The 12,998-nt window shown below is 35.8% G+C and overlaps 1 long non-coding RNA gene across 1 annotated transcript in view; it reads left to right on the forward strand.

Annotated features, from left to right (window-relative positions):
* The window catches only part of LOC105377356 (uncharacterized), a 288,441-nt gene extending 277,976 nt beyond the window's left edge, over window positions 1-10,465 (forward strand). Inside the window, exon 6 of the long non-coding RNA XR_939051.1 lies at window positions 10,384-10,465. This is a non-coding gene — a long non-coding RNA (uncharacterized LOC105377356). The remainder of the gene's footprint in view (window positions 1-10,383) is intronic.
* The last annotated feature ends 2,533 nt before the right edge of the window (window positions 10,466-12,998 follow it).

The following is a 12,998-nucleotide window of genomic DNA, read 5'->3' on the forward strand; positions in this document are numbered from 1 at the left end:
ATAGCAAGAATCCAGTTACATCAGTTTAGGAAGAATCCCCTTCATGCCCTTATCTGATCACCCTAGGAATCAGATCAAAGTCCTCAATTTCCACCATCCCCCAGGCAATATCTGATCACCCTGGCTTGACTTCAGCAAAAATCTCATTAGGTCCAGATAACTAGAATCCCTACCACTACCACCCCTGATGTTTCCTCTCAGTAATTTTCCATCCACTGACCGTCGCCCTGTTCCTCAGTTATAAATCCTCACTTGTCCATGTTTTGCTTAGAGTTGAGCCCAGTTCTTTACCTAGGTCTTTTATCCTATCCTAATAGTTCCTAAATACAATTTGTTTTTACCACTTTAACTACTGTCCAGCTCTGGTTTTCTTTAACAATATGTTAATAATATATTTTGCATCCTTAAAACTTGAGTTTATTTTTGAGTGTTTAATGAAGATTGTATTTCTTCAGAGGCCAAATCCTCAACCTAACTCTGGAACATGATGGTAAAAGACTAAGTAAGTCCAGGTAACAGGGAGTTACTGAATATATTAACTGCCTTGGCAAAGGTATCCTATTGTGATCTTAAAGTCATGTGTTCTTCATTCAAATTTCCCACCTGTGCTTTTTCATTCATTAATGGGGAAGAAATTTAACCAGATATAGCAATTAGAACTGGGAACCCTGAAAAAATGTGGGAAATTTCTTTCCCTGAGGCTGAATTGCCATTTGGAAGAAGTTCTATTATAATAACAACGTTATTCCTTTCTACCCTCCTTATTTACTCTTCCTATGGAAGTAAGTGAATTCCAGTTAGCAAGTTTGAAAAGAGAAATTTGGAATTCTCCTGCCTTTTACCTCTTTTTGAGAGCAAGCTGCTAACATGAGCCAGACATTCTCCTCTGCAACTTGGCGTGATAAGTTTTACAAGGGCAGACCCCAATCCAATATAGAAAGACCTGTGCTTGTTTAGAACTGTGACAGAAAAGATAAGTTCAATTCTGGGATACAGTTCTAAAAAGCCCTTTATTGCTATGTTGTAAAAAGCCCTTTATTGCTATGTTGTAAAAAGCCCTTTGTTGCTACACACCTATACCACATTCTCCAAATCATATTTATTAGCAATAACATATTCTTATAATTTATTTTGGGCTAGGGATAGAAAAAAATGACATATGGAACAGAATAGAACATACATACATAAATGGAAGTGACTTCCTATGGTTTGGATGTGTCCCCCTAAGGGAGGAGACCACCCCTCATATTGTCTTATGCCCAATTTCTGCCTCCAAAGAAAAAAACAAGTAAAAACTAAAAGGCAGAAATGAAATCCACAGGCAGATAGCCCAGCACTGCGCACTGGGCCTGGTAGTTAAAAATCAACCCCTGACCTATCTGCTTGTGTTATCTATAGATTTCAGACATTGTATGGAAAAGCATCACGAAAATCCCTCTCCTGTTCTGTTCCATTCTGATTACTGGTACATGCAGCCCCTGGTCATGGTCACATACCCCCTGCTTGCTCAATCGATCACAACTCTCTCACGTGGAACCCCTTAGAGTTGTAAGCCCTTAAAAGGGACAGGAATTGCTCACTCAGGGAGCTTGGTTTTTGGAGACTTGAGTCCGCCAATGCTCCTAGCTGAATAAAGCCCTTCCTTCTACAACTCAGTGTCGGAGGGGTTCTTGTCTGTGACTCGTCCTGCTACACCCCTAAGTATATGCGTTGGAAACTTAATCCCCAGTGCAACAAAATTGAGAGGTGGAACCTTTAGGAAGTGATTAGATTGTGAGGTCTCTGCTCTCATGGATGGATTAATGCCGCTATCAAGGGAATGCATTTATTATCCTGGAAGTGGATTTCCTGAGAAAAGGATGGGTTTGGTCCTCTCTCATTCTCTTGCTCTCTCTTGCTGTCTTGCCCTTTTGCTTTCTACCATGGGGTGACACAGCAATAGCAGGAAGAAACACACACACATATGAATACTTCCTTTGTGACACGGCTAGTGATGGAAAAATTGGTTGTAATATGGGAGATAATAAAATTAGATCCTTAGCTCACACCATATACAAAAATAAATTCCACATTCATCAAAGACTTAATGAAGCACAACTATTAAACTTTTAGAAGAAATATAGGAAGACATTCTTTAGGACCCTGGGGTACAGATGGGTTTCTTAAGTCACAGAAGAAGAACCTCTAGAAGACTAGCTGATGATTAACGTTTAAAAATACATTAAAATTAAACTATCTGTTCATGAAAAGATACCATATAATGAAAATATGGGCCACATATAGGTAGATGTAATTTCCAACACATATAATAAATAAATAGAACCTATAATATATAAAAACATAAATAGGAAAAAGATAAACAAGCCAATACAAAATGAGCCAAAGGCTTGGACAAAAAAATAGAAGAAACACAAATGGGCAATAAACAGTAAAAGATGAACAACCTCATTCATAGTTAGGAAATGCAAACTAAAACCACAATTTAATACCACTTCACCATTTTACACATTCCAATTGTAGAGTAATGGAAACTCAAGTACTATTAATGGGAGTGTAAATTTGTGTAACCACTTTGGCAAACAGTGAAGTGATGTCAAAGTATCCTTGAAAATTCATATACTGTTTATTGTAGCAGCTCTACTTCTAGATATATCCCAGAAAAAACTTTTGCACAAACTCAGCAAGAGATACATATAAAAAAAAATTTTCTGTTAGTATTGCTAGTAAGAATCCATGTACCATTCAACTTCAGTGAGATACTCTTCACATTGTATTCTATATGATAAGCATCTCCTGGATTTGTATGAGTAGTAGTTAGTCATTTACTTATAATAGAAAAATGACTAACAGCCAAAATGTCTATACACAGTAAAAAGGATATATATGTTTTGTCATATTAATACAGATAGGAAAATAAATACTCTATAACTACATAAATCAACATGAATGAATATCATTAGTGTAATTCATGAAAAATCTTGTTGCAGTATAATTTCATTCATATACATTTTAACTATGCAAAATGACATACCATAGTGTCTAAGGATACAGATGAAACTACAATATGTTATATGCGTAGACACTTAGCATTGTCATGTTCTTGTTTTCTCATATGATGAAACTATAAAGAAGCTATAAACCATAAAAGTTGATGCTTTTAAAATTTATATGGATATAGTTTTATACTTTTTCCAGTAATTGTGGGGTTAATAGTATGTTTAAAAGAGATAAATTTTATTGTTATTTTAAATTTCAAACATATGTAATTTTTCAAAATAAATTATAAACTTTTTAGCTCTTTTTTTTCTTAAGCAGCTCATTGAAATGATTTTAAAATCATTTACAGGTATTCTCCTAGTTAAATGTTACATTTTTAGGATAGATGCAATCAGATTTTTATTGTTATAGCTTAATCTTTAGCTATTTTATTTAGTGATTTTGCATTAGATAGCAGATGTAAATTCGATTCTATTGGTAATTAAATTAAATATAAATGGCAAACACCAATAAAAAGCCAGATGGTCAAACTGGATAAAAAAGCAAGGCCCAGCTATTTACACATATACACACACATACACACACAGACACACACACGTAAACACACACTGTCTATAGAAGATACATTTTAAATCTAAAAGATATATTAAAAAGATGAAAAATATATCCCATGGAAACAATTATAAGAAAACCAAAGGACCATATTACTATCATATTTCATAAAAAGAAATAGTACCAGAGATAGAAATATTTCCTAACAAGTGGATTGAGAAAACAAGAACATGACGATGCTAAGTGTCTATGCATATAACAGCAATTTCACAGTGCATGAAGCATAAATGATACACCAGGAAGGAGAAACAAAAAAATCTGCAATTATGTTCATATTTCTCTCCCAATAATTTGTAGAATGACTAAAGCAGAAAGTAAGAATAAAAAGTCTTAAAAAAATTATCTACCAATCTGATCTAACTGATATTAATAGAAACTTCACTCAACAACAGCGCATCACTCTTTTTCTCAAGTACATGTAGAACATTGATCAAATGTGCTCCAAGCTATGCCATTAACAAGTTTTAATAAATTGAAAAGAGTTGAATCATACAGAACATGTTCCCTGACCACAAGGGAATTGTGAGAAATTAATAACAGAAAGATATCTAAGAATCACCATGTATTAGAAAATTAAGCCAGATTTTGCTCCATAAACCATGGATTAGAGAAAAAAAATCTATGGAAAGTATAAAATATTTTGAACTGGCTGAAAATGAAACACAATATATCAAGTCTAGCAAAATGTGTGAAATATGGTTAAATCAATACTTAGAGGAAAATTTATAACTAACCGCATATATTAAAGATGATTAGTTACCAAAACTTCCAATTTAAGAAGCTAAAAAAGAATTAAAATCAATGTGAGCAGAAAAAAGAAAATAATGAATATAGAATCAGAAATAACTTACACAGAAAATGGATGAATATTACAGATAGACTATCAAGAAAATTGTTAACCCTGTAGCTAGACTGATGAAGAAAAAGGAAAAAAGATATAAATTGTCAATATTAGAAAGGAAAGAGGGGGCAGCACTAAGATCCTACATTAAGAGGGTAATAAAATAATGTTATAAAAAATTTTATGTCAATGAATTGATCACCTAGATAAAATGGACACATTTCTTGAAAGACTAACAAAATTGACCCCAGGGAAAAAAAAAATCTCGATACGTCTCTACTATAGAAGTTTGTAACTGAAATCCTTCCCACAAAGAAAATTCCAGGCCCAGATGACATTATTGCTGAATTCTTGTAAACATTTAAAGAAAAAAATACCACAAAACTTATTCGCAGGATAAAGAGAACACTTCTCAACTTATTTAATGTGACTGACATAATCCTGACACCAAAACCAAAGACAACATAAGAAAAGAAAACCACAAACCTATATTCTTCACAAATATAGGTGGCACAAATATTTTAAACATATTAACAAGTTGCATCATTACCAAGTGATGTTTATTCCTGGGATGCAAGGATGGTTTAACAATTGAAAACCAATCAATATATTTTACCATATTCACAGACTAAGAAAACACATACAATCACAATAGACGAAGAAAAAGCATTGGACAAAATTTAACACCCATTCATTATAAAAACTAAGAATAAAGGGACTTTCTGTGGATATAGGTCATCTATAAAACATCTACAGCTAATAATAAGTGGCTTCGATTTCCTCAGAGAATGTTACCATAGTAGAAGATCAACACTGGATTATTTTGCTGGCAGGTTGAACATTAAATAGTTGGATGACTAAATGCCTTGATGAGATATTGGACATTGAATAGTCCAGCTAAATGCAATAGGCCTAAAAGCTCATGCTTTTTGGCCTATAAAACTCATCCATCTCTGCCAGTATGGTTACTCTCAGGTCGTGATCTCATTGTAGGAGCAGTAGGGTGGCTAAGGATAGAGTCTGGCTGACATCTACTGGTCAAGTCATTCTGTTAACTTGATGGTTTCATTCACTTCTGTAGGGGATAATCTGTAATGCGCATTAAACTGCAAAACCAAAATCATCACACTTTGTTCTTTTTCCCATAACTACATGCCTCTGTCCTGAACATCTTCATTTCTCATTATTCAGTTTTTCTCCTTTTTCTTTTCAGAACCCTTAGACAATTATACAAGCCATTTGCCATTGCCTATTTACTCTTGTAAAGACAATCTTCACATTGCACATGATATATCAAATCATATATACATATATATTCCAGTATACCACAATTTCTGATTATCAGTACTCACATATCATAATAGCCATGTAAGTAGGAACATGCAAGATTGTCTTAATAATTAATAAGGGAGATTACAATTGCTCAATGACCTTTGAAAATATTTTTAAAAACCATAAAAACCCTTACTGATAGTTAGAAATATAGAAATAAATAAAATATCAGAGCACTAACATGTATAATAATACATTAAATATATATTGTATATTAAATATATATATTTAAGTAACAGTACACTATTATTTAAAATATTGGAAACATTTAGAACTAAAGTGTTCTATTTCTTTGTAAAAAGTTACCAAGAGTAGTTTGAACATAGCCAAAGGAAACTGAACTAGACCGGCCTATGACAGTTTTGGTTAGCCTTCCTCAAGTAAAAGATGAAGTTCACCTTTTGCTTCTCTTCTTCATCCATTTTTCTATTCTGTAGCCCATAGGTTGTCTGTGTTCATCTTAAACCATAAAAATAAGGGTCATACTCTGGGCATGACAGAGCGAAGAGCTGGGAGGACCTTGGGTTCTTGAAGGCTTTTTGAAGCAGAACCTTTCACCAGCCCCTTGCCCTGTTATCTTCAGACACATTTCCTCCCCTTCCTCCTCCTCCTCCTCCTCACTCTCTTCCTCCTCTTCTTCTCCTTCTTTCTTCTTTCTTCTCTCCTTCTCCTCCTCCTTCTTCCCTTCTTCCTCCTCTTCCTTCCCTTCTTCCTCCTCCTCCTTCTTTTCTCTTTCTTCTTCTTCTTCCTGCCCCTCCTCTTCCTCCTCCCCCTCTCCCTTTCCCTCCTCCTCTTCTTCCTCCTCCTCCTCCCCCTCCTTCTTCTTCCTTCTTCTTCCTTCTCTTTTTTAGAGACAGTGTCCAGTTTCAAATGACAGAATCAGCTGATTTAATAATGGTAATTATGTGTCTTTTTAGTTTTTTTGTTTTGTTTTGTTATTTTTTATTTGTTTGTTTTGAGGCAGAGTCTTACTCTGCCACCCAGGCTGGAGTGCAGTGACGCAAGCATAGCTTACTGCAACTTCCACCTCATGGGCTCAAGTGATCCTCCTGACAGCCTCATGAGTAGAGTAGCTAGAACTACAGGCATATGCCATCACGCTGGCCTAATTTTTTTTCTTTTTTTTGTAGAGATCAGGTCTCTCTATGTTGCCCCAGGCTGGTCTCGAACTCCTGGCCTCAAGTGATACTCCAGCCTCAGCCTCCCAAAGTGCTGGAATTACAGGCATGAGCCACTGTGCCCACCCCAGACATTTCCTTTTTCTTTCTTTTTTTTTTTTTTCTTTTTTTGAAATATGTTCTGGCCCTGTTACCCAGGCTGGAGGGCAGCGATGTGATTTCTCATCACTGCAACCTCCTCCTCCCAGGCTCAAGCCATCCTCCCCTTTCAGCTTCCCAAGTAGCTGGGACTACAGGCACGCACCACCACACCTGGCTAATTTTTGTATTTTTTGTAGAGACGGGGTGTCACCCTGTTGCCCAGGATAGTCTTCAACACTTGAGCTCAAGCTATCTGACTGCCTCAGCCTCCCAAAGTTCTGTGATTACAGGCATGAACCACTACACCGGGCCCACACGTTTCTTATATGTGAGAATGAATTGCCCTCTTGTTGAAGGCACTGCTATTTAGGCTTTCTCTCACTTGCAGCCAAATCTATTCCAAAATGATATGCATGCCTCATATATTAAGCGAATTGATGTATGTAAACTATATGCATAGCACTTAATGTATACAAAGGACTTAGAACTGTGGCTGGCAGTTTAATTTTATCTTTAATTATTAATCACATATCAAATAAATACAAATTTAATGATGATAAATCAATTTTTCATCTCTTATGTGAGCTCAATAACTAGTAAAGATGCTGTGGGGTACTTAATATTAAATGTGATTAATAAAAATAGAAATTATTGATATTTTCTGGTCGGAAATAATTTTTATGGATGAAACTTTACGAGGAGGAGATCTTGCAACTGAAATAAAATTATCTATGATAAGTCAAGTCATGTAATAGATAAATAGAAGCAAAATTAAAATGAGTACTTTATTATATTAAATTAATACATAGATATATGTTTAAAAAGACCAAACAGTACAAAAGTCTTGAAAGAAAACGGCAATTTGCCCACTCCTCTTTCTCCCAAGTTTACCATACCTTAAAATGTTTAACTTTTTGTTTTATTTGCCTCTACATTTCTAGATAATATGTTTATAATACTATTCCTTGAATTTTTTTATTATGTACTTTCTGCTTGGTAAAGTGGATTCAAATTTAGTACACACATACATATACCCTTTTCTCGTAATGTTCCATTATACCACAATTTCTTATTATATCGATATTCAATGTCTACATCATTGTGATTAAGTAAGCAAGTTTCATAGCTAGGCCACACTGTGTGGTATTATTTTGTTTCCTTTCCTTTACAACTTGTTTTTCTTGGAGTTAACAGTCACCTTCTGTTTTGTTTGCTTAACTTTCGGTGTAACTACTACTAATACTTCTCAAATTTTCTATTGAGCAGCCAAAGCCCTCTCAGTGTAGTCACATGCATCAGGTACTCTATCAATTCCATTTTTGGACAAAGGAGAATAAAACTTTAAAAAATAATTAATATATTCATGGCGAAGTAGGGAAGAAGACATCTGAAAAGATGCAAACAAAGAGTGCAGAGAAAAAGAAACAATTCTTAAAAATTATGCATAATACTATATACAAACACACACATATATATATATATATATATGCGTTTGTGTATATATATGTATATTTCCCCCCATCCCTCTTTCCTTCTGTATTCTTTTGAATTTTTCCTCTATTTTATTGTGTTTTTCTTTCATTTTTTATGTGGCGGATTTCTTAATCATCCTGGCGCTCTTGGCTAGCCTTTAATGTTTGAGAAGGAGACCTTAAAAAGCTCATTGGAAACTATGTGTGTGGAAGGGTTTTTCTCAACTGGTTGGCTTCACATAGGGCAATAAAACCAAGTCCATCTGTTTAATGAGCAGTTCTGCAAATGACAGTCCTCTCTCTTTAGCTAGTCATTCTCTCCTGGAAATAATTCTACTGGGGATGAGGCCTGCTGCCCAAACTTAGGACCAACTTTAGGGAAGTGAGTTGTGTGTTAACTTTCTCCCACTTGTCCACAGGATATTCCCAGGTACTTTCTCCATTTCTAGGGCTGGCCAGCCTGTCATTCACCTCTGCACAGAGAGACTTTCTCATGTAATTTCTCCAGGGAGTAAATCTTCAATTTTCTGCTGCAGTAAAGGAAGGTTATAGAAGTATAGTGTGAAAGGGTATCTGGGATCTAATTACTCCTAAATAGGCTCATTTCCTATTCTTCTGTTACTTCTATCTGTGATACCAGATCCCTCCAATCTTGAACTTGTTGATATTTCCCTCTGTAGGCATTTGGATTTCACCTACAAAGTCAGTTGTCACTTATCAATTCACCTTGTATCTTCCAAAGATATGGTGACATTTCTCATCTACTGGTATTTCCTCTCATCCACCATGCATTTTTAATATTTTTAAATTTTTATTTGCTATAATTTAAATCAGTTTTAAGAGGTGTTGAAATAAACATGTTTAATCTTCTGTGCTCTGTAAAAAGTCTTAAAAATTAGTTCAACTTTTTTGTATTAGAGCTACTATTAAGAGGAAAATTTAGTTGCATATAGTTTAGAATTATCAATAGGAGGAAAAGATATTTTGATTTTTCATTTTGAACATGTTTAGTGGAAACACTAGCATTAAGAGACAAAGAGGATGGATTATTTTGGATAATCATCTCCCAAATGCACTCATTATAATCACATAGAATTTAGCTTTTCGAAAAGCAGCCTATTATTTCCCACTTTTTCTTAGATAACATTCAAATCATTTGTATTGCAATACTGTACATACATATTTATCATATTTTTCTGGACACATTTTTAGGAAAAACAACACTGGTTTTTCTGGAAGTACAGAATGAAAATGAAATGGGCTATAATGGCAGTTACATTTTTCCCATTTGGAAGTCTTTTGTTCTTTTATCTCAAGATAGCACTTGCCAGTGTAGGAGTTTGCGATCAGTTGCTTGCTCTGCTCTTCTGTTCCTTTTTACCAACCCTATAACTCTTACTGTGCTATTTTTCTAGGAAGACTATTTCATGTCCTTCCCCAAAGAGGAGAATAATTAATTTCATGGCTTTTCAGCAAATAAATCTTACTCATCCCAACTCTGCCTGGGAAAGCTACTTAGGCATACATTTAAGCACTTCAAGGGTGATAAGAGGCAATAGATGCCAAGAAAAGGGGCTGTGTAGGAGAGTTCTTGGGAAAATAGTCCTTAGGACATAAAAGTAAATGGATAATAATGTGGGTGAGTAAATTGTCAGGAGATGACAGGAGACAATAGATGAAGAAGAGAGAGTTATGTATTTGGCCCACTGGCCAATTAAACTTCAAATTTTAACTGACAATGATTTTTGCTTGTGTTTTTTTTTTAATTTTCAGACTGATTATTTAAGCTGCAATTTAATAGAATGTAAACAGTTCCAAGTTCAGCTCAGTTATATCTAAAAACTCATTTTTCAATCCCATTTCATTTCAGATTTACAGATTTGCTTACTTTGGTTAAAGAACTTTACATGTACTTCTATCAAAACCTGAATATTGGCTGGGCATGGTGGCACTTGCCTGTAGTCCCAGCTACTTGGGAGGCTGAGGCACAAGAATTGCTTGAACCCAGGAGGCAGAGCGTGCAGTAAGCCGAGATCCCGCCACTGCACTCCAGCCTGGGCTACAGAGTGAGACTCCATCTCAAAAACAAACAAACAAAAAAACAAACAAACAAAAACAACACCCACATATCCATTCATTCTTTCTCTTTTAATAAAGCATCTGATTTTATTCAGCGTGGCAATGTGTTTGGCTAAAAGATTATATTTCTCATACTTACTCTACATGTAGGTCTGGCCATATGATTATGCTGGCCAGTGAGATTTAAATGGACATTTTGTTTTGCAAGACAGATGCTTGACAGCAAGGAAAGCAGATGTGGCGGCTGGAGCACCATGGAAGCAGGGTAACATCTAAGTGATGTGGGTCTCTGACACTCTTGGACCCCTCCCTTGCATCCGTGCTCTGACCTTTTTACTTCTGGACTTATTTTTCTTGTGTATGAGGAAGGTACTGTAAACTACTCTATTATGATGTAGTTACATTCAGCTAAGCCTAATCCTAATGGATACAAAAGAGAACTAATAGCATTCTTTGAAACCTCAACTAGGGATTCCAAAACCTTTGAATATTTGTTTCTACCCTGTAAGTTGTTGCCTAAACTAAAAGACCATTTCCTACTGAAAAACAGTTTAATAGAATTTTTCTTTTTTTAGCTTTCAGCTTGAAGCAGAATATTTGGTATATAATAGGCATCAAATAAATACTTATTAAATAAGTAATCATATAATTTAAAATTTAAGATTGAGACTCTACACACCCCTGTCAAGATAAGTACACAGGGATAAATAAATACTGATTTGACCTATTGAGGTTTATAATCTTATAAAAGTGATATATACAACTAGTAGCATACAAAAGGGAAGGATCTAAGTGTCATGGCAGAGGCAGGTGCAAAGCACTGAATGGCAGGAAGCGACAGATCAGCCAGTAGTGTTAAATCTAGACTGAAACACAGGCTGATGAGGCAAGGAAAGTGGATTGGGCAAGACTGTGAAACCATGCTTAAGAATTTTGATATTGTTGTCTAGCTAATTGAGAGCATCCAATTCATTTTTAGGAAAATAATGGTGGCCATGTGAAAAATATACCGGGGAGGCAGAGAGAGAAGGCGAGACGGCAGGGAGCTCAGTCAGAAGCAAGTCTGATTCCTCTGTTCTCAGCAGGAAGAGTGGCAAAATTATTTCTCACCTCTGTGAGGACCATGAGGCTGAAATCAAGGCAAAGAAGATAGAGGTTTTCAAAAGGTTTGAGGCAATTGGAAAAGGAAGAGTGGATGGACAGAAAGATAAAGGAACCACTGTTACAGACAGAATCATATCCTCCCAAAAGGTTTATGTCAAAGCTCTAACCCCCAATGTGACTATGTTTGAAGAGAGAGCTTTTAAGGAGATACTTGGGGTTACATGAGGTTATAAGGGCAGGTCTAATCCGATAGGATGAGGGTCCTCATAAGAAGAGACACCAGGGAGCTTTCTCTGGCTCCACATGCAGGGAAGAGGTCATTAGAGGACACAGTGAAAAGATGTCCATCTGTCCATCTACCAACCAAAACCTGCTGGACCTCAGTGTTAGGCTTCTAGTCTCTAGAATTCTGATAAATAGATCTTAAGCCACACAGTCTGCAGTATTCTGTGATAGTAGCCCCAGCAGACTAATACAACCATATGGGTTGACTAAACAGGAGATAGAATCTGAGGGAGACACCAGCATTACCTCTGAGGGAAGGGGTGACTGCTTCTTCCCACTCCTTGCACCAGCTTCCTCGCCCCTCTGCAGGAAGGAAGCACTGGCCAGACGGAGCACAATAATTGGGATGCAGATGTTAAGTTTTTCCACTTATAAAACAGCAATAATAAGGTTACTAATCTTATAAGGTGACTATGAAAAGTAAACAAGTTAATAGTGAAGATAAATAAACAATAACATTGGCTTTTTTAAAACAAATAATTTGTACCTGCCAAAATTTGTATTTCCCATTCTGCCAAACTAAAGACCTGAACTGGACTTATGACTCTTAGAAGGAAGCTTAGGAATTGTTGATACTGCAGGTATGTGTGTAAGTATAAGTAGGTGTTACATTGAATTCTGTATAAAAAATAGGTTAACTTAGGGCAAGGCTCTAGCTGCTCAAAGCCAAACACCCACCAGAGTGCTCTTCTTGAGTTACAAAAAAGGTAAGATTGTCAAAACAAACTCATACAAATCATAGGTCTTACCCAATACCAAATTACTAATGATTCAAAAGACACAAGCATGAAGCAGACACACATGCATATTTCTTTCTTAAGGGGCTTTAGCCTTCAAAACAGCATCCTAATCATCCCCTTTGCATACTGAGAGTAGCAAGCAAGCACTAACAATGCGTGGTATGTATGTCAACTCAGAGCAAGTCATTCAGATTTTAAGCTGCTTAGTTTTTATAATGTGGGTAGTCATTCCTGGGCAATGATAGCATAAGACTCATTCCATTCTCCAGCCAGCTAT

This window comes from Homo sapiens, chromosome 4 (genome assembly GCF_000001405.40).
Source record: "Homo sapiens chromosome 4, GRCh38.p14 Primary Assembly".
In the NCBI taxonomy this organism is placed as follows: domain Eukaryota; kingdom Metazoa; phylum Chordata; class Mammalia; order Primates; family Hominidae; genus Homo; species Homo sapiens.